Source organism: Homo sapiens, chromosome 10 (assembly GCF_000001405.40).
Source record: "Homo sapiens chromosome 10, GRCh38.p14 Primary Assembly".
Classification (NCBI taxonomy): domain Eukaryota; kingdom Metazoa; phylum Chordata; class Mammalia; order Primates; family Hominidae; genus Homo; species Homo sapiens.
In genome coordinates, this window is record NC_000010.11 from 6,145,824 (window position 1) to 6,171,647 (window position 25,824).

General features: G+C 50.1%; 1 protein-coding gene, 2 non-coding genes and 1 pseudogene across 10 annotated transcripts in view, besides 5 other annotated features; 3 read left to right on the forward strand and 1 right to left on the reverse strand.

The window, feature by feature from the left end:
* The window catches only part of PFKFB3 (6-phosphofructo-2-kinase/fructose-2,6-biphosphatase 3), a 181,717-nt gene that overhangs the window by 903 nt on the left and 154,990 nt on the right, over positions 1 to 25,824 (forward strand). The window contains exon 1 of one of the 8 annotated variants that reach the window (NM_001282630.3): positions 425 to 673. The exons of the other annotated variants lie outside the window; for them this stretch is intronic. Within the exon in view, the coding sequence (NP_001269559.1) occupies positions 556 to 673 (118 nt within the window). The 5' untranslated portion in view covers positions 425 to 555. Of the gene's footprint in view, positions 1 to 424; positions 674 to 25,824 lie in introns of those variants that run through there. 8 annotated transcript variants of the gene reach the window in all.
* Positions 2,884 to 2,933: an enhancer, noted in NCBI's record as "active region_2960". NCBI's record gives its function as "activates an Ori minimal core promoter by ATAC-STARR-seq in GM12878 lymphoblastoid cells {active_cell/tissue: GM12878}" and the evidence as "EXISTENCE:reporter gene assay evidence [ECO:0000049][PMID:35858748]".
* Positions 3,800 to 4,050, forward strand: RN7SKP78 (RN7SK pseudogene 78; annotated as a pseudogene).
* Positions 5,743 to 5,792: an enhancer, noted in NCBI's record as "active region_2961". NCBI's record gives its function as "activates an Ori minimal core promoter by ATAC-STARR-seq in GM12878 lymphoblastoid cells {active_cell/tissue: GM12878}" and the evidence as "EXISTENCE:reporter gene assay evidence [ECO:0000049][PMID:35858748]".
* Positions 6,373 to 6,454, forward strand: MIR3155A (microRNA 3155a). Its single transcript, NR_036111.1, has one exon. It is a non-coding gene; the product is annotated as a microRNA 3155a (primary transcript).
* On the reverse strand, positions 6,384 to 6,439 carry MIR3155B (microRNA 3155b). Its single transcript, NR_039698.2, has one exon. It is a non-coding gene; the product is annotated as a microRNA 3155b (primary transcript).
* Positions 17,600 to 18,079: a silencer, noted in NCBI's record as "silent region_2101". NCBI's record gives its function as "represses an Ori minimal core promoter by ATAC-STARR-seq in GM12878 lymphoblastoid cells {active_cell/tissue: GM12878}" and the evidence as "EXISTENCE:reporter gene assay evidence [ECO:0000049][PMID:35858748]".
* Positions 18,490 to 18,599: an enhancer, noted in NCBI's record as "active region_2962". NCBI's record gives its function as "activates an Ori minimal core promoter by ATAC-STARR-seq in GM12878 lymphoblastoid cells {active_cell/tissue: GM12878}" and the evidence as "EXISTENCE:reporter gene assay evidence [ECO:0000049][PMID:35858748]".
* Positions 20,319 to 20,818: an enhancer, noted in NCBI's record as "H3K4me1 hESC enhancer chr10:6208105-6208604 (GRCh37/hg19 assembly coordinates)". NCBI's record gives its function as "activates a minimal SCP1, AML or CMV promoter by ChIP-STARR-seq in naive H9 embryonic stem cells {active_cell/tissue: H9 hESC(naive)}" and the evidence as "EXISTENCE:reporter gene assay evidence [ECO:0000049][PMID:30033119]".

Genomic DNA, 25,824 nt, shown 5'->3' on the forward strand with positions numbered 1-25,824 from the left:
GGCCCGGCTACCTGGTGTTCCTACCCGCACCGGGGGGTCCCAGCGCACCGGACCCCGGTTTACAGGCCGGGTGGTTGGAGGCCCAGCACTGCCCAGAGCCCTGGGCCCCTCTCAGCTCAAAGACCCGGGAGAGAAGTGGGAGCTGCAGAAGTGTGGGGAGGGGGGCCTCGATTTGACTTTCAAATCAGAGTTGTGTGACTCCTGCGCCGTCTGTTTGGGTTGGGAGGGGTTGAGTTCTGGTGATGATTGTCACTCAACACCCGAGACTCCCCCACTGCGACCTGGGCACACTAAGGACGTTGAGGACTGGGGGTGTGTGTGGGGGGAGCCTGGCCTCCCCTGGCACTGGGCCTGTGCTGTGCCGTCTCTCCCTTCCCGCACCCACCCATCTGCCTCTCTTCTCTCATAACTCAGAGGCACGGCCAGCGTGATGCTACGGTTGCCTGGAGGCTGTACCGGACTTGTTTTTCAAACAGAGGGTGCCTAGGTATCAGCGTGGGCTCCTGGCGGTGAAGGGGGTGGCTGCTGACTCTCCTGTCCCGTTGGGGTAGAGAGATGGGGGAGGGTGGCCAGAAGGAAGGTGACAGCCAGCAAGCAGGGGCTCTGCCACTCCTCTGTCAGCTGGACACGTTTAGTCCCAAGGCCACTGTCTTCGGTGTCTCCATTAATCCAGGTATGATTCGGCCACCTTGACTCTGTGGGTTCTCTGGAGGCTCTCAGAGTGTCCCTCCCCCCCTACTCATTAACTGCAGGGGACAATCATTTATCTCTGACTTCATCGCTTCTGCCCACTTTTGTCGATGTAGGCTCTGGTTGGGAAACTCCTAAAAGGGACAGACTTCTGTTTACTTGTGCGCTCAGTAGAGAGCCTTATGCGGCAAAGTATTAAATAGCCAAGCTGCTAATGTATTGTTTGCATATGAAGATTTTGCTTTATGACAGCGTATTTTAGTGCATTATTAGATCACACAGGACAAAACATTTGCAAACTGCCAACCAAGGTAAGCTTTGGTTTTTTGGTTATTATCATTGTTTAATCTGAAGAGACCTTGCTGCATGAAGAGGAAAATGTTATCCTTGCATTTGGCAGATGCTACTTCCTGGAGGTCCCAGAGTGTAAGAAACTGTTGCTTGGCATAAGTGCTGTCTGCGTTTCCCGGTCACCCTGGTGTGAGCCAGGGCACAGGCTCTTGGAGGCTTTATCGAGGCAGAGCTTCCCCAGTTGCAGGTGGGACCTCTCACTTAGAAGTAAGCACAGCAAGTGGGAACTGCAGGGAGCCAGGCCGCGGCTGGGTTTGGTGCTGAGCCGTGGTCTGAAGCTGCCTGGAGGGGACAAGGTCCTCCTGTGAGGGACAGCACGGCACGTCAACCCTGCACTGACGGAGGTGCAGGAGACGCCAGTGCAGCTACTCTTCTGTATTTTTTGACCTTTGAGCGATCTGAATGTGTTAACTATTCAGAAAAGTAATTTAAAAATTGGGAAATGAAAAGACTTTGCCGCCCTGCTCCCAAAACCAAGAGAAGCCATCCGGAGAAGGCGTCCATCCTCTGCGGGCTGGAAGCTGAGCAGGGACAACTGTGGATTCCCTCCCCAGGCTGTGCTTCTGCCTCTTGACAAGCTTCAGACTTTGGGATCAGCTCCGTCAGGGGCCCAGCGGGTACCAGGCAAGTCGAGGAGTTTAATGATGGGGAGATTTGGGTAGGAGATAGGAAAACCGTAAGGGATAGTGCAGAGCCCTGGGCATTAGCACCTTGAGGTTTAAAATGTCAAGTGGCAGAGCCAAAACTAGGGACAGCCTGACAGGGACTGTGGCCTCTGTTGGAGGGGGCGGGCAGTGTGTAGCCTGCAGAGAGGGAGCTGGGAGAATCCTCAACCTAGACCTCACTCCTTCCTCCCTCTGATCTCATGGCTTTGGCAGCCAGAGGGCCGGGGAGCCTGACGGGGTGGTCCATACAGGGGACCTGACGGGGTGGTCCATACAGGGGATCCTGATGGGGTGGTCCATACAGGGGAGCCTGACGGGGTGGTCCATACAGGGGAGTCTGCTGGGACACAGAGCTGGGTGGATTTCCCTTTTGGAGGAGAGAGGGTCTTCAGGGTACAACAGAGAAGCAACCAAAGATCTTAGGTGCTGGTCCTGTCCCTCACTTATGGGAGGAACTAGTGGACAGCTACTGAATGTAGTTATGGGAAAGATGAGTGGTTGTGTACCACGGCATTCATTCATTCTCTAGATTGGGCACTTGCTATGCACCAGCACACGCTAGGTACCAGCTGAACAGCAAGACATGGTGTCTCCTCCCTGGAGCCCACCTCCTGTGCTCTCCAGCAAGTGCCAGGGAGGGGAGTCAGAAGTCCAAATGTAGAGCAGTTCTCAGTAGGAAGCCCCACCTGAGGAGGCTGAACTCCGCATGGAGAGGGTGTGGCACTGGTTGACCTCCTGGACTGTCACACAGGCTGTGGTTAGGTTGGTGCCATGGTGCTGGCTAGAATGGAGCCAGAGGGACTTAGACCTCATATTGCACCTGTCCAACATGGACCGCAGTGGTATGGCACGTGGCAGGCAGGAACCATATCAAGTGGGTGGTGGCTGCATCTGGGCCATGTCCCCTATGCTCAGCGTGAGGCTGGAGCAGCAGCTGACAGTGGCAGTCCTGGCCCAGGTGGGGGAAGGATGGTGCAAGCATTGCCTTCAGGGCTCACAGCTCTTCCTGTGGGTCTCCAGGGTGACGGTGGTTAGAGTGGGAGGAAGGTCTGAGTCTTTGGCCAATCTGTCTAGAAGAAGGAGAAGTTAGTATCTTGACGTGAAACATAAAAGAAATTCATGAGACGAAAAGGAGGCAGGAAGCACTTCAGCTGGACACGGAGAGGAAAGTCATGCATATCATGACTAACTTTGGGAACCACAATGGAGGGACGCTGGGGCAGTTCTTCCTCTGCAAGAACTTCTCTCCTTAGAAATCGAATAGATGGGCCAGTGTGGTGGCTCATGCCTGTAATCCCAGCACTTTGGGAGGCCGAGGTGGGAGGATCACTTAAGGCCAGGAATTTGAGACCAGGCTAGACAACATAGCGAGACCCTCTCTCTACCAAAAAAATTAAAAATCAGCTGGGGGTGGTGGCGTGAACTTGTAGTCCCAGCTACTCTGGAGTCTGAGATGGGAGGATTGCTTGAGCCCAGGAGTTCAAGGCTGCAGTGAGCTACGATCACACCACTGCACTCCAGCCTGAGTGACAGAGCAAGACCCTGTCTCTCTAAAGAGAAATAAATAAGACAGATGGTGTAGACGGTGACTCATCTCAGGTGATGGAGGCGTGGCTCTAAGAGACTGTGGTCTTGAATAAATCGTTGAGGTCCTTTTCAAGTCTAGAATCCTATAACAATGTCTTCAGACAGCAGTGTTCCAAGGATTTTTGTACGTTCCACCTTCAGAGGGACAAGGGAATAGCAGGTGAAAGTTCTAATAATAAATAACAATAAGGCCGGGTGCGGTGGCTCATGCCTATAATCCCAGCACTTGGGAGGCCAAGGCGGGTGGATCACCTGAGGTCAGGAGTTCGAGACCAGGCTGGCCAACATGGTGAAACCCTGTCTCTACTAAAAATCCAAAAATTAGCCAGGGGTGGGGGTGGGCGCCTGTAATTCCAGCTACCTGGGGAGCTGAGGCAGGAGAATCACTTGAACCCAGGAGGCAGAGGTTGCAGTGAGCCGAGATCGTGCCACTGCACTCCAGCCTGGGCGACAGAGTGAGACTCCCTCTCAAAAAAAAAAAAAAAAGATACAAAATGCACTGTGTGGGATGTGAGGGCAATCTGGCTGTGACATCTGTCACCCCAGTAATCGTCAGGGTTGATTTGGCTGATCTGGCTGGCTAGGTGGGTGTCCCCTTCCTCCCTCACCACTCCATGTGCGTCCCTCCCAAAGCTGTGTGCTCGGTCCAAGAGGATGACCATCCCCAATAGAGGAGGACTCATCTTCAGTCAAGGGTACACGAGTAGCTGCACTCCCCTGCTAGAACCTCCAAACAAGCTCTCAAAATGCACTGTGTGACCTTACTATAATATCCTCCAGTTCCATCCCAAGGATTTCACTCTTTTTTATGGCTGAGTAGTATTCCATGTTGTATATGTACATTTTCTGTATCCATTCATCTGTTGTTGGACACCTAGGTTGATTCCATGTCTTGGCCGTTGTGAATAGCGCTGCAATAAACTTGGGGTTTGGATGTCTCTTCACGCCTTTTAAGTTCATGCCTTTTCTGTCACCTTTTCCATTGATTCTATGCACATAGCACCTCTTGCAGGCATATCTTGTCCCATAACCAGACCGGAACACTCATTTGTTCTCAGAATGCTTTCTGCATGGTAACTTGGAGAGCTATTTGAGTTACGGTCTATACCTCATGCTTATATTGGACCTGGTGGTAGCAAGTGTTTCATAAATTCTTCTACTTGGTTAATCTGTCATTTTCTTTTGGAATGAGTAGTTGCAGAGCCACATTAAGATCCTTATAGGCCAGGCACGGTGGCTCATGCCTGTAACCCAGCACGTTGGACGGCTGAGTAAGGTCAGAGGATTACTTCAGACCAGGCGTTCGAGACCAGCCTGACCAACATGGTGAAACCCTGTCTCTACTAAAAATACAAAAATTAACTGGGCGTGGTGGTGGGCGCCTGTAATCCCAGCTACTCAGGAGACTGAGGCACGAGAATCACTTGAACCTAGGAGGCGGAGGTTGTGGTGAGCTGAAATCGTGGCCACTGCACTCCAGCCGGGGCGACAGAGCGAGACTGTCTCAAAAATAACAATAATAATAAATCCTTATAAACCCTAAATGCTGAAAGATGATGGCATTTCCCCATGCGTAATTTAAAATAAAGACAATACCCAGGCTGTGCGTGGTGGCTCACGCCTGTAATCCCAGCTCTTCGGGAGGCCGAGGCGAGTGGATCACTTGACGTCAGGAGTTTGAGACCAGCCTGACCAACATGGTGAAACCCCGTCTCTACTAAAAGTATGAACAATTAGCCAGGTATGGTGGCGGGCACCTGTAATTTCAGCTATTCCGGAGGCTGAGGCAGGAGAACCGCTTGAACCTGGGGGGGCGGAGATTGCAGTGAGCCAAGATCCTGCCACTGCACCCTGGCCTGGGCGACAGAGCCAAACTCAGTCTCAGAACAACAACAACAAAAAGCAAAAATTGCCTATCATTCATGACGGCAGGGGAAGAGTTCCAAGATTTCCAGCTGGGCGGTTGAGACGGTGGACCAGGACAGCAGGGAGACGGACACAGGGAGGGAGCCCCAGTCTGTGGAACACCATCCCACTTACCGTAGCTCCCCACTGGCAGTGTGTATGAGTCTTGGTGGTATCTTGTGTGCGGGTCTGAGCTAGGGGGCGTGGCCCCAGGAGCATCCAAGGTTCTGGTTGGGGCAGCCACAAGGTGTCTGAAGAGCAGCGGGGTTTGGTCGTCCTGGCACTTCCGCAAGCAGCCTTTCCAGCTGTAGCTCCGGAAGGTGCTCTGACATGACAGTTCAAAAACACACTTCCCCCTGGCCTGGGCTTCAACACTCACTTGTCAGAAAGTGAGGTCCTGTATGCCCCAGTCCTCGGCCAGAGAAGCAAGAAGCAGATTTCCCAGAGGCTGTGGCCCCTTGCATTGGTGAGGACACTGGGGTGCTACCTCTGTTTGAGGGGTGACTGACAACTGTGCTTTCTTAGGGTGGAGTTGGTCTGCTGTCGTGACTGTCTGCTTGAGATACTGACCCCTGGCGATCAGATTCTGGAAGTCCTCTCCTGAGGCTGCTGAAGTCGTCCCAGAGGCTTGTCCAGCCACAGCAGTGGAGAAAGATCCAATCAGGCAGGCAGGGGCAAACGGGAAGTCGGGAGGGTACCCTCCCCGCTCCCTGAGAAGTGTGGACTTTCAAAAGGAAGTGAGAAAGAGGAAGGTCTTGCCTAGGCATGGGGTAGACCTGTTTGATGCAGGCGGACTTCAGGGAAAGCTGGTCCTCAGTGCCACAGTGCTGTGGCTGTCGGGCGGCAGGCACTGGCTCACAGCCGTGGTGGGGACGCCTTGTTTCTCGGAAGGACAGAACCGCCCTCCTGCAGCTCCTGTTCCTGGCTTCACATTAGAATTAACTGGGGAGCTAAAAAAAAAAAAAACCTGATGCCCCAGAAATTCTGATTTGATAGTTTCTGCCTTGATGCCTAGACAAAAAATGTCCTGAAACAATACTTCACCTCAGACAATACTGTACATGCTGATGTTTTCTAGTCTGTTCCATTTCATTAAGAAAGATTCTGGTCTTATTCCAGTAAATTGATTTCAAGGCCACTAATGGGTGGTGACCCACACTTTTGAGATGCCTGTTCCGGGCATCACCTCCCACTGCAGAGCCTGGGGAGCCGGACAGCTCCCTTCCCAGGCTCTGCAGTGGGAACTGATGCCTGGAACAGTTCCTGCAGCCGGTCTCCAGTGTGATTCAGGTCCTGCGGCAAGTTCTAGGTGGTCCAAGTGAGGCAGAAGCCTTGCTGGAGGCTTTACCCGTCCACACTGCTGTGGAGCCTCTGAGCCTCCATGGAGGCTCCCCAAGCCAGGCAGCAGGGGAGGAAGCGTCTGGTAGGAGGGTGGAAGGCATCACGATAACTAGCCACCTGCAAGGGCTAAATCTCTCTGGGACGTTTGCACGAGGAACATTCCGAACCCATGAATAGAGGAGGGCTGCGGATCTGGTAGCTGAGGAAATTCAGTAGAAAAGCGAGAAATGTATGCCAGGTGCAGTGGCACACACCTGCAGCCCCAGCTACTTGGGAGGCTGAGGTGGGAGGATTGCTTGAGCCCAGGAGAGTGAGACCAGCCTGGGCAACATAGTGAGATCCTGTCCCTACAAATAAAAAATTAAAAAATTAGCTAGGTGTGGAGGCATGTGCCTGTAGTGCCAGCTACTTGGGAGGCTGAGGTGGGAGGATTGCCTGAGCCTGGGAAGTTGAGGCTGCAGTGAGCCTTGATCGTACCGCTGCACTCCAGCCCGGGCAACAGAAAGAGACCTTGTCTTTAAAAAAAGGAAGAAGAGGCTGGGCACGGTGGCTCACGCCTGTAATCCCAGCACTTTGGGAGGCTGAGGTGGGCAGATCACCTGAGCTCAGAAGTTCGAGACCAGCTTGATCAACATGGTGAAACCCCATCTCTACTAAAAATACAAAAAAATTAGCTGTGCATGGTGGTGGGTGTCTGTAATCCCAGCTACTCGGGAGGCTAAGGCAGGAGAATTGCTTGAACTGGAAGGCATTGAGCCAAGATCATGCCACTGCACTCCAGCCTGGGAGACACAGCGAGACTCTGTCTCAGAAAAAAGAAAGAAAGAAAGAAAGAAAGAAATAAGAACAGAGAAAAGCAAGAAATGTAATTGAAAGGCCGATGGGCTGCCCTGTCCTGCGGGTGCCTACCCTCATTTATGATGCAACTGAAGTCACTTCCATAAGCTCTTCGGTCCTTTCAGCAGTGCCCAGTAGGCCAGGGGCGGATGTAAGTGCAGAGGCTGCGGCAGTGAACAAAACAGACAAACCTCGGCCATGGAGCTTACATGTGAATGGGGTAAGCCTGTGTGGCTTGGTCCTTGGTAGATGCTTTGAGTGGCTGGTAGGAGGTCATGGTGACCTCCCTGGGTTGGTGAGCAGGTGAACGCTGCATGTGTCAATGGATGTGAATGCCAAGAAGAAAATAACTCAGGAAAGAGGAGGGGGAGGGGCTGGGCGAGGTGGCTCACACCTCTAATCCCAGCATTTTGGGAGGCCGAGGCAGGCGGATCAGTTGGGGTCAGGAGTTCGAGACCAGCCTGTACAACATGGTGAAACCCCTGTCTCTACTGAAAATACAAAAATTAGCTGGGTGTGGAGGCAGGTGCCTGTAATCCCAGCTACTCAGGAGGCTGAGGCAGGAGAATTGCTTGAACCTGGGAGGTGAGGTTGCAGTGAGCTGAGATCGCGCCACTGCACGCCAGCCTGGGAGACAGAGCGAGACTCCATCTAAAAAAAAAAAGAGAGGGGAGAGGGAGTCAGGGACCGGGAGGGAGGATTGTGGTTGCACACAGGATGGTCACTCCAGGGGACATTTGGACCAAGACTGAGGGGAGTGAGACAGCCTGAGGGGAGTGAGGCAGCAGACAGTACCATTAGCTCAGGAGCATGTCCAAATAGGGAAGTGCGAGGCAAAGGTCCTGTGGCCAGAGCGGCTGAGTGCAGGAGGAACCTGCGGGCCAGCACCGCTTCTGCAGGGTGAGAGGGTGGAAGCCAGGTGGACACAGGCTTAGGAAGGGAGTGGCGGCTCAGCACGTCCTCATCTCCCATGGTAGGGCCTTGTTTGGCCTCTCAGCTGGAGACAGGAAGGCCTGGGAGGGTTTTGGTGGAGGTGTGGGCTGAATTAATTTTTTTTTTTTTTTGAGGCAGGGTCCCACTCTGTTGGCCAGGCTGGAGTGCAGTGGCGCGTTCTCGGCTCACTGCAACCTCTGCCTCTCGAGTTCAAGCGATCCTCCTGCCTCAGCCTCCAGGGCAGCTGGGATTACAGGTGCATGCTACCGCGTCCAGCTAATTTTTTTGTATTTTTAGTAGAGACGGAATTTCACCACGTTGGTCAGGCTGGTCTTGAACTCCTGAGTTCAAGTGATTTGCCCGCCTCGGCCTTCCAAAGTGCTGGGATCATAGGCGCGAGCCACCGCGCCTGGTGGGCTGAATTAACGTGACACCATAAAACGTCTCCGCCACGGGTGGCTACTATCCTGAGAGCAGACTGTGGGGTGGCGGGGGAGGCAGGAGACCAGGTGGGAGTCTCTGGGCCTGCTGCAGGTGGCTGCGATCAGGGTGGTGTTGGGGGTGGCTGGATTCTGAATATATTTAGGAGGCAGAGGCGGCGGGATTTGATGGATTTGCTGTGGGGTGAGAGAGAGTGAATCATGGGTAGCTCCCCCAGCTGCCTTCTGTCTGATCTGGGGAGACGCTGGGAGCCAGGTGGCCGAGGCGGTCGAGGCCTGGGTTGTAGTGAGCTGCGGGGAGCCCGCACTGCCACAGCAGCTGCACCTCCTCTAGGCCCTGTCCTTGGTAGAGGCTGTGAGTGGCCCGTAGGAGGTCATGGTGACCTCCATGAGCAGCTCTGTTTCTGTCTGTGGTTCAAAAGGATGGGACCCAGTAAGCAGCCTTCCAGAAAAGTCCACTGTGCCCCAGGTCAGTCATCAGACAGAGCCATTTCAAGAAGCAAATGACTTGGACAATGGGGGCTGATGCTTACTGCCACTGGCAAAGAATTCCGAAAGGTTCTGAGGGGTTTACTCCGGGCACTGAGCATGCTCTCTTCCAAGCTGGGAGAAAAGCACTTACGAGTTTTTTTCTTTTTTTTTTTTTTTGAGACGGAGTCCCGCTCTGTCGCCCAGGCTGGAGGGCAGTGGCGCGATCTCGGCTCACTGCAAGCTCCGCCTCCCGGGTTCATGCCATTCTCCTGCCTCAGCCTCCCGAGTAGCTGAGACCACAGGCGCCCACCACCACGCCCGGCTAATTTTTTTTGTATTTTTCATAGAGACGGGGTTTCACCATGTTAGCCAGGATGGTCTCGATCTCCTGACCTCGTGATCCGCCCGTCTCAGCCTCCCAAAGTGCTGGGATTACAGGCGTGAGCCACCGCACCTGGCCGAGTTTTTTCACTTTCCCAGGGTTTCCGTGTAAATACTACACAATTACCAACCAAATGTCTGTCCTTCCTCCGTTTCCATAAATGTCAAGGGCTCCACTGTAAGGGGGAAGCATGGACCCCCACTCCAGGAAGACTTCCTGGACAGACCCCACCCAGGCACCTGCTGACCGGGTTCACTTCCAAATCAGGATACTGGCTTGTCCTGGTTTGTCCATATTTCCCCGGTTTCAACCTCGACAGTCAGGTCACCCCTACCTCCAGCTAACCCTCGTGCCACAGGCTTGTTGAAAGTTAGATGGCCTCATTTTAGAAAAACAGATTTAAAAACCTCATTCGTGTTTGAACATGGAAAGAAAGAATAAGAAAGTAGGCTTTATGGCCCTGGGCTACTGGCTTGAAACTTTGGAAGATATTTTTCTTTCTTAAAATGTTTTTATGTTTAGGAGATATGTTCTACATGCACATAGCGAACATCCTACCCAATAGGCAGTTTTTCAACCCTCACCCCCGCTGCCATCCTCCCAACTTTTGGAGTCTCCAATGTCTATTATTCCATCCTGTGTGTCTGTGTGTTACCCATTGTTTAGCTCCCAAAGAAGAGATATTATATATATGTACATATATATGTGTGTGTGTGTGTGTGTGTGTGTGTGTGTGTGTATTTTTAGAGGCAGGGTTGTGATCTGTCTCCCAGGCTGGAGTGCAGTGGCACGATCATGGCTCACTGCAACCTCCACCTCCCAGGCTCAAGCAATCCTCTTGCTTCAGCATCCTGAGTAGCTGGGACCGCAGGTGTGCGCCACCACAGTCTGCTTTTTTTTTCAAACTTTTTGTGGAGACAAAGTCTCCTTGTGTTGCCCAGGCTGGTGTCCAACTCGTGGGCTCAAATGATCCTCCCACCTTGGCCTCCCAAAGTGCTGGGATTATAGGCATGTGTCATCACGTCCAGCCTCCAAAGAAGAGCAAATTCACTTTAAATTAAATTAATTAATTAATTAATTACTTTTTATTTATCTTTTTTGAGATGGAGTCTCGCTCTGCGGCCCAGGCTGATGTGCAGTGGCACAATCTCGGCTCACTGCAACCTCTGCCTCCCAGATTTTAAGTGATTCTCCTGCCTCAGCCTCCCACCACCACCATGCCCGGCTAATTTTTGTATTTTTAGTAGAGATGGGGTTTCGCCATGTTGGCCAGGCTGGTCTCGAATCCCTGACCTCGTGATCCGCCCACCTTGGCCTCCCAAAGTGCTGGGATTAGAGTTGTGAGCCACTGTGCCTGGCCCAAATTCTCTTTTTAAAGTATCTGGGCTGGGCGTGGTGACTCACGCCTGTAATCCCAGCACTTTGGGAGGCTGAGGCAGGTGGATCACCTGAGGACAGGAGTTCAAGGCCAGCCTGGGCAACATGGCAAACCCTCTTCTCTACTAAAAATACAAAAATTAGCTGGGCGTGGTGGCAGGCACCTGTCATCCCAGCTACTTGGGAGGCTGAGGCAGGAGAATCGCTTGATCCTAAGAAGTAGAGGTTGCAGTGAGCCGAGATGGTGCCACTGCACTCCAGCCTGGGCCACAGAGCGAGACTCCATCTGAAAAAAATAAAAATAAATGATAAAAAATTTTAAAAAGCAATTCTGCCAGGCTTATTAGAAAATGGAAACAAGGATTTTGTCATCAACTTGCTGCCTCATAGTAACAACAAAGGTGTCTGAATCTGTAAATAGTTGTGTCTTCTTTTTTTTTTTGAGACGGAGTCTCGCTCTGTTGCCCAGGCTGGAGTGCAGTGGCGCGATCTCGGCTCACTGCAAGCTCCACCTCCTGGGTTCACGCCATTCTCCTGCCTCAGCCTCCCGAGTAGCTGGGACTACAGGCGCCCGCCGCCCCGCCCAGCTAATTTTTTGTATTTTTAGTAGAGGCGGGGTTTCACCGTGTTAGCCAGGATGGTCTCGATCTCCTGACCTCGTGATCCGCCCGCCTCGGCCTCCCAAAGTGCTGGGATTACAGGCATGAGCCACGGCGCCCAGCCAATAGTTGTGTCTTTGGTGAAAACATTCTAGAAGTTGAACGTCATCTGTTTATAATAAATGAGTCAGCATGTGGTCCTCCAAGAATCTCGTCTGCTATTGTCACCCCATTTCCCGGGTCCTGTTTATAAATGGGGTATGACAAAGGGAACCCACTTCAAGCTGAAATCATCTGTTGTTCAAATCCTGGATTATAGAAAGGCTTTTTCACTTATGATTTCAGTGAAGCAAAAGGTCATGTTATCATGACTGCTTTATAGGAAATGGATTTCTTAACCTTCTAAAACTTTTGAAAATTCATTTTTGAATGAGTAATATGTAACACATGGCCTGACAGTAAATCCCAATCCACGTTATGGAAAAACCGACTTGACTGAATAAGCAGGCAGTCCATTGTTTCTCTGTGGTTGTGTTCTTTTCTCTGGCTTCTGTGAGAAATAACTGAATGACGGGTAAAGCCTTTTAAAAGTCAGGCAGTGTGGCTGGGCGCGGTGGTTCATGCCTGTAATCCCAGCACTTTGGGAAGTCGAGACGGGTGGATCACGAGGTCAGGAGATCGAGACCATCCTGGCTAACATGGTGAAACCCTGCCTCTACTAAAAATAAAAAAAAAAAATTAGCCGGGCGTGGTGGCGGGCGCCTGTGGTCCCAGCTACTTGGGAGGCTGAGGCAGGAGAATGGTGTGAACCCGGGAGGCAGAGCTTGCAGTGAGCCGAGATTGCGCCACTGCACTCCAGCCTGGGGGGACAGAGCAAGACTCCATCTTAAAAATAAATAAATAAATAAGATAAAATAAAATAAAAGTCAGGCAGTGTGTAACAAAAGGAAATAAAGAAACTTCACCTCTTTAGTGATCAGGAAAATGCAGATTGAGACCAAAATGAAGACACGTTTCACTCTGTGTGCCCGGTAGAAATGAGGAAGCCTGATGGCTTTCAGTGTTGACAGAATGTGGACCACAAAAGCCCCTCACACATTGCTGGTGGGCCGATAAGTGGTACAAATGCCTTGGAGGCAGTTTGGTCTTTTCTTTGGTGTAAAGTTGAAATTCACATACTTCGGCTAGGTGCGGTAGCTCACGCCTGTAATCCTAGCACTTTGGGAGGCCTAGGCAGGCGGATCACCTGAGGTCAGGAGTTCAAGACCAGCCTGGTCGACATGGTGAAACCCCATCTCTACTAAAAATACAAAAAGTCAGCCAGGCATGATGGCATACACCTGTAGTCCCAGCTACTCCAGAGACTGAGGCAAGAGAATCGCTTGAACCTAAGAGGCGGAGGCTGCAGTGAGCTGAAATCGCAGCGCCACTGCTCTCTAGCCTGGGTGACAAAGCAAGACTCCATCTCAAAAAAAAAAAAAGAAATTCACCTACTCGAAACCAGCAATACCGTTCCTAGTATTGCTGATGTTCACACAATCATGTTCATAGCAGCACTCTCATAGAAAAACCTTTACACAGCACAAATGCACTTTGACAGGAGGATAAATTATTCTTAGTATATTCACACAAGGCAATATTATAAATAAGCTACACTCAAATAGACAGCAACTCTCAATATTGTTGATGACTATTAAAAAATCCCAAAACAGGCCAGGCGCTGTGGCTCTCACTTGTAATCCCAGCACTTTGAGAGACGGAGGTAGGCAGATCCCTTGAGGTCAGGAGTTCGAGATCAGCCTGCCCAACATGGTGAAACCCTGTTTCTACTAGAAATACAAAAATTAGCCAGGCGTGGCGGTGGGCACCTGTAATCCCAGCTACTTGGGAGGCTGAGAAGGGAGAATCGCTTGAACAAGGGAGGTGGAGGTTGCAGTGAGAGGAGATCGCGCCACTGCACTCCAACCTGGGTAACAGAGCGAGACTCTGTCTTAATTAAAAAAAACAAAAAAAAGCACCAGGCATGGTGGCTCACACCTGTAATCCCAGCACTTTGGGAGGCTGAGGCGGGGGGATCACCTGAGATGGGGAGTTTGAGACCAGCTGTCAAGAAACCCGTCTCTACTAAAAATACAAAAAAATTAGCTGGGTGTGGTGGTGCATGCCTGTAATCCCAGTTACCCGGGAGGCTGAGACAGGAGAATCGCTTGAACCCGGGAGGAGGAGGTTGCGGTGAGCCGAGATTACACCATTGCACTCCAGCCTGGGCAACAAGAGTGAAACTCCGTCTGAGGAAAAAAAAAAAAAACAAAACACCAAAAAACCAAAAACCAAAAACATCAAAATCATTACATATGGTAAGGTACTTTTTATTTATTTACTTATTGAAACAGGGTCTCGGATTGTCACCTAGGCTGGAGTGCAGTGACTCACTGCAGCTTTGACCTGCCAGGCTCAAGCAATCCCCCCACCTCAGCCTCCCCAGTTGCTATGACTTTAGGTGTGTGCCACCATGCCTGGCTATTGTTTTTTTTTTTAATAGAGACGAGGTCTTGCCATCTTGCCCAGGCTGGTCTTGAACTCCTAGACTCAAGCAATCCTCCCGCCTGAGCCTCTCAAAGTGCTGAGATTACAGGCATGAGCTACCATGCCCGGCCTACGATACTTTTTAAAATAAAATTAAAACAACTAAAACTAAACAATGCTTTTTAGGAATATATACATAATAAAACTATGTATTTTTACAAGATTCAGGATAATGGTTACTTCCATTTGAAGGGAGGCAGAAGCAGAGGATGGGGGAATATACAAATACATGTCACTTAATGTCAATAATTGAGATGTCAATTGGCTGATGGGGTCATAGTTGTCTGTTATATTAAACAAACAAATACAAAAGAGGGCCATTCAGGGATCAGTGATGAGAGCCTGAGATGAGGCGAGGACTGTGATTGCTCCCACCCTCTCTACCTGAGGTCCAGAAAGCAAGAAAGAATGAAGAGTTCCCTTTTGACCTGTTACAAGATCAGCAGTTTCCTGGGTGCGGTGGCTCACGCCTGTAATCCCAGCACTTTGGGAGGCTGAGGCAGGCAGATGACCTGAAGTCAGGAGTTCGAGACCAGCCTGGCAAACACAGTGAAACACTGTATACTAAAAATACAAAAAAATTAGCTGGGCATGGTGGCACGCACCTGTAATCCCAGCTACTCAGGAGGCTGAGGCAGGAGAATTGCTTGAACCCGGGAGGTGGAGGCTGCAGTGAGCTGAGATCTCGCCATTGCATTCCAGCCTGGGCGACAAGAGCAAGACTCTGTCTCAAAAAAAAAAAAAAAAAAAAAGAGGATGAAGCAAATATGGTAAATATGGTAAAATGTTAATAACTAGTGAAGATATATGGAGATTCTTTGTACTACTTAAAAATTTTCTAAATTTGAAATTACGTCAAAATGAGAAGTTAAAAGAGAAATGACAGGTCACTTCTCCAGTCATCTCCCAACCTTGATGCATTTGGCCTTTTTTTAAATTTTTTTAATTTATTTTTTTATTTTTTTGAGATAGAGTTTCACTCTTGAAGCCCAGGCTGGAGTGGAATGGTGTGATCTTGGCTCACTGCAACCTCCGCTTCTCGGGTTCAAGCAATTCTCCTGCCTCAGACTCCCGAGTAGCTGGGACTACAGGTGCCTGCCACCATGCCCAGCTACTTTTTGTATTTTTAGTAGAGACGGGGTTTCACCATGTTGGGCAGGCTGGTCTTGAACTCCTGACCTCAGATGGTTCACCTGCCTTGTCCTCCCAAAGTGCTGGAATTACAGGTGTGAGCCACGGCGCCTGACCTCATTTGGCCTCTTCTTTCTGTTGCTCAAACACTCAAGACTTACGACTCAGGGCCTCTGCAAGTTCCCCCTGCCTGGAGCAGTGATAGGGTGACTCTTTACCAGCAATATGAGGATCCCATTTGTTTGGATCATTTGTAAAGGTAACTTTTCCCATTTGTAACTAAAAAGTTATCTGTGGAGGGATCCTTTGCAGTCACTCACAAAGTGTGAATAAAATATCCTGTTCCCAATAATCTTTATAAAAAATTTAAAAAATTATTTTATTTCATTTTGTCATGTCCTTGAGTCATAGATATATACACACATATGTATATATATACACACATATGTATATATATACACACACACATATATATATACACACACACATATATATACACACACACACATATATATATATAGAGAGAGAGAGAGAGAGAGAATCTCACTTTGTCACCCAGGCTGGAGTGCAGTGGTGCCATCAGGACTTGCTGTTGTCTAGAATTCCTGGGCTCAAGCGATCCTCCCACCTCAGCCTCCCGAGTGGGTGGGATTACAGGAGGGTGCCACCATGCCTGGCTAATTTTTTAATTTTTAATTTTGTAGAAACAGGGTTTCACTATGTTGCCCAGGGTGGCCTTTAATTTCTAATGTAAACATTTTTAATTGTGGTAAATACACTTATAATTTACCATCTTCAACATTTTTAAGTATACAGCTCAGTGGTGTTAAATATATTCAGTGTTGTACAACCATCACCACCAACCATCTCTAGAACTTTTTCATCCTGCAAGACTGAAACTCTGCACCCATTAAACAATAACTCTCATTCTTCACAATCCCCAGCTCCTGGCAGCCACCATTCTTTCTGTCTCTGAATCTGACTATTCTAGGGAACTCATGTGAGTGGAATCTTACAACATTTGTCTGTTTGTGCCTGGCCTATTTCACTTAGCATCAAGTGCTCACGGCTCATCCACGTTGTAGCATGGGTCAGAATTTCCATCTTTTTGGAGGCGGAGTAATGTTCTGTGTGTTTAGTCACATTTTGTGTATCCATTCATCTGTTGTTGGACACATGGATTACTCTACCTTCTGGCTGTTGTCAATAATGCTGCTGCGAACATGGGTCTACAAACATCTCTTTGAAACCTTGCTTTCAATTCTTTGGGGTGTGTATATACAAGGAATAATCTTTTATTTCATAGCTTTAGCATCTATTGATGATTCTTGAGTGAAACACTTATCAGAGTGTCCGTAAAATGGCTATTTACCATTTTTGTCATTCTTTCCACATTTATTAGTTGGCATTCTTTTGTAAAGAAGCTCTTTCCTGCCCATCCTCCCTTTTACTAGCTTTAATTTCATCATCATTATTAATAGTAGTAATAGTACCAATGTGGACTCCGGGATTTTTAAAATTATGACTGCATGTGTTAGAATCCATTCCTGACATACTCAATTGATGCTCAAGCCACTCCCAGTTTGGGTGAGAACCCTTTCAGGCTGGCTGCTGTGTCCTTGACACGCCCCCTTCAGCTTTTGAGCTCTGTCTTAACTCCTGTTCCAGGCTCCTTGTGTCCTTCCCAGTCTCGGCCTTGGGAGCAGCCACTCCTCCAAGGATCCCTGGGTACTTTCAGTGGAGGATGGTCCTTAGAAGGCTGGATCTGGGCTTTTGTGTGCCTCTTCTTGCTACCGGAGTGTCCGTGTTTCCAGGGCGTTTTTCATGGATGGAGCTGGGAAACATTTTAAAATTGTAAATTCAAACGGATCAGTTATTCCAGTCCAGCAGCACAGAGTTCTTCCTCTCCTTCCCCCGTCCCATAATTGTATCTTTCATTTGCTTTCTGTGTTTTCCCCAGGAATGTTGTCTTCATCTTGAATCTCCTTTGCTACTGGCTGTACTCATTAGCAACATAAAATTCCTCGTGATAACCTCTGACCCCTATCCCATGTGTGATGACACCGAGTTGAGGGAGATCAGACATTCAATGCAGAGGTGGGGGCCAAGACCAAGCCTCCTGGGGCTTAAGAAAATATCTCCAGAGACGGGAAGTCTGGAAGGGAACTCCATCACGAATATTTTATGTTCCCTCCCTCTATTGTTCTCAATCACTGCACAAGTGTATATTACTTTTTTTAATAACAAAAAGGAACTTTTAAGGTAACCCCCCACAACCCTATATAGACTGGATGTCAACTCTTTAGTCCTAGATACACCTGGAGCCTGGCGTCGTGGGGACAGAGGCAGGTCCCTGTGCTGAGGGCGGTAAGACAGGGCGGGTAGGTGGGGACCCAGCTGGGAGGTAGGGGGGCCAGACGGGACATCAGCTCCCGGGAGCCCCGCTCTGGGCACGGTGCGCGCCTCCACCCTCCATTGCACCCCGCGCCTGCTTCCTCCCAGGTGCACCTCGGGCGCCTAAGCCAGCTGGGTCCCGGGCCCCGGGAGCAGCTGCGGGCCCGACGGGGGCGTGGCGGGACCGGCGGGGGCGGGGCCTGGGGGTGGTCCGCGCGGATTGGCTGCTGCCTGCGGCGCACGAGCCGGTCAGCGCGCACCCCGCCCTTCCCGGGCCGTGCGGCACGCCGCGTTCACGTGCTGTCGCGCGCCCTCCCGGCGTGCGCCGCGCGGCCCCAGCCTGCTCTGCGGCGACTGTCCGGCTCGTGAGCTCCGCGTGGATCCGGCGCTGGGCCCCCTACGCTCTGGGGACCTGGGGTTGTGTTTCCGGCAAAGGATGTTTTCCGAGAAGGCCTGGGAGCGGCTGTAAATAATACCCGAGAGGAAATAGGCCCGGCAGGTGTTTTTGCGCGTCCCGGCGTTGGGTGTGGCTGCGGCGGGCGTGCAGGCCGCAGATGAGGAAACAGACTAGGAGGGATTTAGGCATCTGGACTCTGCGGGGCGGCCCGGGCGCGCAGCCCGTTTCCCTGTGGGTTGAGGGCGCGGGAGAAGTGGGCGGCCCACCCCACCCCGCGCGTGGATGCGGGGCTGGGGCAGGTCCGCGGTGGAGGCGCCGCCAGTGAGCACCCGGGGACCGCTCCTAGCCCCCAGTGTGGGACACAGACTCCCTGAGGACCTCGTATGCGTTGGGTCTGTGGCTCCATCCGAATCTTCATGAACAGGGCCTGCGGTGAATTTGGGGAGAGTGAGTGAGCGGGTGAAGGGTCAGGAAATAAGTCACAGGAGGCATGGTTGAAGAATTGGGGATGTTTAACCCAGACATGGCAGGACTGGGCACACTTGACCCCTGTCTGGAAGTATTTGAAAGACTTCTGAAGGGGGCCAGCCCCTCCACACCTGTGGGTGTTTCTCGTCAGGTGGGAGGAGATACTGAGAAAAGAAATAAGACACAAAGTATAAAGAACAGTGGGCCCAGGGGACTGGCACTCAGCATACGAAGGACCCGCACTGGTGGCCGTCTCTGAGTTCCCTCAGTATTGATCATTATTTTTACTATCTTGGCGAGGGGAGTGTAGCAGGGCAACAGGTGGGGAGAAGGTCAGCAGGGAAACATGTGAGCAAAGGAATCTGTATCATGAATAAGTTCAAGGAAAGGTACTGTGCCCTGATGTGCACATAGGCTAAGTTTATGTTTCCCTTTACTCAGACATCTCAGTGTAGCAAAGAGTAACAGAGCAGTATTGCTGCCAGCATATCGCCTACAGCCACAGGGCGGTTTTCTCCTATCTCAGAATAGAACGAATGGGATTGGTCTGCTTTACACCGAGACATTCCATTCCCAGGGATGAGCAGGAGACAGAAGGCTTCCTCTTATCTCAACTGCAAAGAGGCCCCCTCTCTTTCACTACTTCTCAGTACAGACCCTTTACGGGTGTCTGGCTGGGGCACGGTCAGGTCTTTCCCTTCCCAGGAGGCCATATCTCAGGCTGTCTCAGTGGGGGGAAACCTTGGACAATACCCAGGCTTTCTTGGGCAGAGGTCCCTGCAGCCTTCTGCAGTGCATGGTGTCCCTGGTTAATCGAGAATGGAGAATGGCGATGACTTTTACCAAGCATACTGCCTGCAAACATATTGTTAACAAGGCACATCCTGCACGGCCCTGAATCCATTAAACCTTGATTCAATACAGCACATGTTTCTGTGAGCATAGGGTTGGGGCTACAGTTACAGGTTAACAGCATCTCAAAGCAGAAACAATTTTTCTTAGTATAGATCAAAATGGAGTTTCTTGCGTCTTCCTTTTCTGCATAGACACAGTAACAATCTGATCTCTCTTTTCCCCACAACTTCCTTATGAGGAAGAGGCTAGACTTTCCTTCTCCCTGGGGGCACAAAACAGATTTTCCCAGGTGGAGAATTTCAGGTCAGTTACACAGAGCCGGCAGGGATGAACATGTCTGGCGTTCTTTGCAGGAGCCAGATGTTTACCTATGTTAGTGGGAGAATAGTGGAGCTCAGATGCAAGTTCTCATCTGCCAGACTCCAAAGCCCTTGCCTTTTCTCGATGCGTCTATTTTTTTGTAAATGTTTTAGTTCAGAGGTACATGTGCAGGTTTGTTATATAAGTAAACTCGTTTGTTGTAGATTATTTCATCACCTAGGTATAAGCCTAGTACCCAGTATTTTATTTTCTTTTTTCTTTGTCTTTGTTTTTTTTTTTGAGACAGAACCTCACTCTGTCGCCCAGACTGAAGTGCAGTGGTGCTATCTCCGCTCACTGCAACCTCTGCCTCCCGGGTTCAAGCGATTCTCTTCCCTCAGCCTCGTGAGTAGCTGGGATTACAGGCGTGGATCACCAGGCTCAACTTTTTTTTTTTTTTTTTTTGAGACGAAGTCTCACTCTGTCATCCAGGCTGGAGTGCAGTGGCACGATCCCGGCTCACTGCAACTTCCGCCTCCTGGGTTCAAGCGATTCTCCTGCTTCAGCCTCCCCAGTAGCTGGGATTACAGGTGCCCCGCCACCACGCCCAGCTAATTTTTGTGATTTTTAGTAGAGATAGGCTTTCTCCATGTTGGCCAGGCTGGCCTCGAACACCTGAGCTCAGGTGATCCGCCCGCCTCGGTCTCCCAGAGTGCTGGGATTAAGGTGTGAGCTACCGTGGTAGAGATGGGGTTTCGTCATTTTGGCCAGGTTGGTCTCAAACTACTGACCTCAAGTGATCCACCCGCCTTAGGCTCCCAAAGTGCTGGGATTACAGACATGAGCCACCGCCCGGCTTAGTATTTTTTTTTTTCTGAGCCTCTTCCTCCTTCCACTCAATGCATCTATTTTAGTGGAATGGGTTCCTTTGTGAACAATGATGTTGCAGTTATTCATGAAGTAATAAAGTGTTTGTGTATTGATTGATTTCTTTGGACTGGAGGGTTTGCCCAGCCCTGTTGAGCTTTGTCATTGTCTACCTCAGGGGAAGAGGGAGATTGTCGCTGGTCAGAGGAGAATGCCAGGGCTTCTCTCAGACGGAGGCAGCCTCCCATCTCACCGCAAGTCGGATCTTGAGTAGCACCTGTTTCGGCCCATTGCCCCTTTAACAAGGGGCCCAGGTGCCCTTGGACTTGCTAGAAGAATAATCATGACTTTGAGTTTAACAAATGTGGTCACAGTATTCCACTGCAGTCCACCTTTCCCACTTCTCCTAGCCCTTCTTCTTCTTTTTTTTTTTTTTTTTTTTTATTTGAGACAGAGTTTGGCTCTTGTTGCCTAGGCTAGAGTGCAATGGTGCGATCTCAGCTCACCGAAACCTCTGCCTCCCAGTTTAAAGCAATTCTCCTGTCTCAGCCTCCCGAGTAGCTGGGATTACAGGCATGCACCACCATGCCCTGCTAATTTTGTATTTTCAGTGGAGATGGAGTTTCTCCATGTTGGTCAGGAACTCCCCATCTCAGGTGATGGGCCCGCCTCGGCCTCCCAAAGTGCTGGGATTACAGGCGTGAGCCACCTTGCCTGGCCTCCTAGCCTTTCTTTTTTGCAAATCTGACACTCCTCCCCTCCACCCCATGTGCCTAGACAAGGCCAGCATGGGACTCACACAGGAAGAGCTGAGGACTGGAGGAGTGAGTAACTTTTACCTGAGTACGTTTCAGCCCTCCAGGTGGTACCAGGTACAGTCCTCTGAGAAGTCGGGAGGAAAACGCCTGTGCGGGTCTCATTCAGCTCTGCGGTCCTCAGTGTCTGTCTGATACTGAGTCTGTAGTGAGGATGCATAACGGGGTAACCCTTTCTGAGCTCCTGGATTCATTTGCTGAATTAATAGCTTCATACTCTCTGAAGAGAGGAATACTTTAGGAGTCTCTTTTTTGTTTCTGCCACATTTATTAAATTGTCACATTTTAACACATTTTAAGCCATTTTAACATCTCTTGAGAGAAGGTAGGGGCTGTGGAATGTGTATAAAGAGACAATATCTTGTTTTTCTTGGATCCCTAGCTAGCAGATGTGATTACAGTTTCTTATCAAGAACTCAGCCAGAAAATACCAGCCAAACCCTCTTCCTCCATTGGATTATCTGAGGCAGCATTCGTATCTGGTGGCCTCTCTGCTCTGAGCAGTTTGTGGAGCTCCAGAAGATGTCTCTGATGATCCTCTTTTCTTCCTTTCAAGGGATTTCCTAGATTATTCATCCTAAACCTTGGTCTCATTCCTCTCCTACGCCCTTAGGTGTTAAGGAATTGGATATCTATGGAGATAGCCAGCCCAGCCCTAAGCGACACTGTAGAGAAGGTTAAATTTTGTTTCTCTTTGCCTGTTTCTGGTCCTTTGTCCCTTGCTAAGTCCCTAGGTCGTTCCTGCTTTTTTCTAGGTCACATCCTCAGCTTCTTCATCTGCGTCATCTCTAAATGACAGATAGTAGCTCAGTTTGCATTTTAACTGATAGCTGAGATCTTTAACTCCAGAGATGCTATCTAACCATTTAGGGACAGGTTAAATCACATTGTCTTCTTTCCCTAGCCTGCCCCACTCTCCAACCCCAGCATTTTCATACAGAGGGGCAGCTTAGGTAGGGGTGACTAGAGGTAGTGGGAGGCTGGTGGAAGATCATGAGGTAGTGAGTCCTGGAATCCTCCACTTTGCTCCCACTTGCTGAGCGAGGGCCCTGGCCACCCACACTGACCATGCTTGTATTCATCAGCTGTCCTAGAATGTCCTGCCTCAGGCTGGAGGCTGAGGATGCCAGTGAGCGAGGCAGAACGGTGGCTTCAGTCAGCCTTCCTGGGTTCTGATGCCACCTCCACCACTGAGTAGCTGTGTGACCTTGGAGAATTTCCCAAACATCTCTGTGCTTCAGTTCCCTGATGTGTCAGCCTTATGCAGTTGTGAGGATTAACACGAGCAGCTAAGCACAAAAGGCTTCTACATGGCCTGGTAGAAAATCAGGATGCCACCCTGCTGGTGGCCACTGGAAACCCTATTACAATCCAGAGTGCTTCCTAAGTGGGCCTTATTATTCCTGTCTTAAAGGAACTTTCTGCCCAGCAATGACAACTTGGCCATTGCTACGACCATTATGCATGAGTTTAACGGACCAGAAAATGGGATGGGGTGGTCTGCACAGCAGCTGCCCACTCGCAGGTGCCGAGTGTATTTGCAGGTCTGTTTGAGCCCTTACATTCAGGCCTGGGGATGGATGTGGGTGAATGTGCGCGACAGGAGCGAGGCAGCCCCAGTGGTCTGACTTACATTCAAAGCACTTCACGGAATCCATCTGCCCAGACAACCTCCTAAAGTGGTCCTTCGTTGAATGCCTCTCCCGTCTGCCCCCCGAAAAGTTATCTAAAAGTCCCCACTCCTTATGCTTTCTCTTTTTGAGCCAGAGTCTCGCTCTGTCACCCAGGCTGGAGTGCACTGGTCACTGCAACCTCCCCCTGGTTCAAGCAATTATCTTGCCTCAGCCTCCCAAGTAGCTGGGGCTACAGGCATGTGCCACCACGCCCGGCAAATTTTTTGTATTTTTAGTAGAGACGGGGTCTTGCCATGTTGGCCAGGATGGTCTCGAACTCTTGACCTCAAGTGATCCCCCCGCCTCAGCCTCCCAAAGTGCTGGGATTACAGGCGTGAGCCACCGCGCCCAGTCTTCTTATATTTTCTTGTCACAGTGCATCTGCTTGGGTGGCAGGTGCACCTACCTGGGGGAGAGCACATTTTCTGTTCTTTTCTTAGTCTTACGCAGGGAGGATTGTGATTGGGACTCTGGCGGCTGTGAGCAGGGTAGGGGGTCTTAATTTTAGTGAGCAAGGGGCACGAATGCTCAGACCTGGGCCACCATGGAGTTGTCGGGGTGTGGGTAGGAGACTGGCGTCACCCATAAATGCAGAGTAGACCCACTTCCTCCAGGATATTTGACTGTGATCTTGGGCCATTGTGTCTGTTCCCCAGGCCCTGAGGGTTCTCCTGGGATAAGATGGGTATGAACTTGCTGCGCTGATGGTGAAGGCGGGTGGCTGAGGAACAGGAAGAGTGCGTCCAGTACTGCTTAAGAATTCGGTGATGTATCCTGGGCTCTCTAGAGGCTTACAAACATGTGGAATCTAAAAGTCACTCAGAATTTGGAACTCTCTAAATGTTTATGTCCCAGGGTGAAATCCCAGCCCTGAGCTCTATATATGGGAGTGGCCAGGAGGGTCTGAGCACCGAGGAAGGACTGGCTTCTGCCTGGCTCCCGGTTTTATGTTTCCCTAACATTGTTATGTCTTGGATGTGTATTTCCTTAAACCTTTCCCAGGTTCCTTTTGGTTCTGGGTCTAGGACACTGAGAAGATTGAAACATTGGGAGTGCACTGGCCTTGCTCTCTGGAAAGGCTTTACTTTTCCTCTTGCCTATTTGCAGTTCCCTTAAATTAGTCACATTTTGGGACCCTCTTTTGCATTGAATTTCTGGGACTTCTGTTTGTGGTTATTTTGAAGTGGGGGTGGGAGGACATGCCTGGGCCCACCCCGTGGTTCTTTAATGAAGACGATGGTTTTCCTTTTAAGCAAAAGAACCTTGTTTACCATTAACCAGAACTCTGGAAATAGATATTTAATCCCCAAACAGAGGTGATGGTGTGTCTAGAAGCAATTTAAAGCCTCCATAGCTTGACTAGTCACTTTATCCTGGGCAACTTTTTGGATTGTTTGGTAATCTAGAAACGAGAGAGAACGCTAATTGCTTCAACATTAAAGAAACCCACCTTCTAGACTCACTCGTTCCCCCACCCCTCCTTTATGTTTTCTTTCTTGTTCCTCTAAGAAATGAAATATAGAAGACGAAAATATAAACTGGACTACAGCAGGGTGCAGTGGTGCATGCCTGTAATCCCAGCACTTTGGGAAGGAGGATTGCCTGAGGCCAGGAGTTTGAGACTGGCCTGGGCCACATAGACCTCCTTCCTACAAAAAATTTAAAAAGTATATTTAAACCAGACTAGAAACTTTCAACCACAAAAATCCATGGGGTCATTGAGGTGCAAATGGAAAGACCAGGAGCAAAAGTAGAGGGAGCAAAAGTAGAGGGTGGGGACAGTGTGGAGGTGAGGACAGTATGGAGGTGGGGACAGGGTATGGAGGTGGAGACAATGTATGGAGGTGGAGGCGGTGGCTGAGCAGAGCAGGAAAGCTGCTGGGGGCTGTGAGGAGCTAGGTTTGGCTGGGTGACAGCAAGGGCTGGACAGAAAGTGCTTTCAGAAAAGCCCAAGGATAAAGTCCAAAGAGATTAAAGGTTAAAAAAAAAAGAAAAGCTCAGGAAGAGGAAGATGACAGGTCCCCAGGGGAAATCTGCCTAATCCAGCAGCTGGGAAGACAGGATACCCTCAGGCCCTTCCTTAGGGCAAAAGGATTACTCCGTGCAGGAAGGAAATATTACAAAGTCTTTCTTCTCTATTTTATTATTATTATTTTTTTATGAGACGGAGTTTCGCTCTTGTTGCCCAGGCTGGAGTGCAGTGGTGCAATGGTGCAATGGCGTGTTCTTGGCTCACCGCAACCTCCGTCTCCCGGGTGCAAGTGATTCTCCTGCCCCAGCCTCCCGAGTAGCTGGGATTACAGGCATGCACCACCATGCCACCACGCCTGGCTAATTTTGTATTTTTAGTAGAGACGGGATTTCTCCATGTTGGTCAGGCTAGTCTTGAACTCCCGACCTCAGGTGATCCACCCGCCTCAGCCTCCCAAAGTGCTGGGATTACAGACGTAAGCCACCGGGCCCGGCCCTTCTTCTCTATTTTTAACTCATCTTTTAAAATTGTTCTTTCTTTCTTTTTTTTTTTTTTGGAGACTGTCTCGTTCTGTTGCTCGGGTTGAAGTGCAGTGGCGCGATCTTGGCTCACTGCAGTCTCAACCTCCTGGGCTCAAGGAATCCTCCCGGCTCAGCCTCCCAAGAAGCTGGGACTATAGGCGTGTGCTGCCACACTCGGCTAATTTTATTTTTTGTAGAGATGAGGTCCCTCTGTGTTGCTCGGGCTGGTCTCAAACTCCTGGACTCAAAAGATTCTCCTGCCTTGGC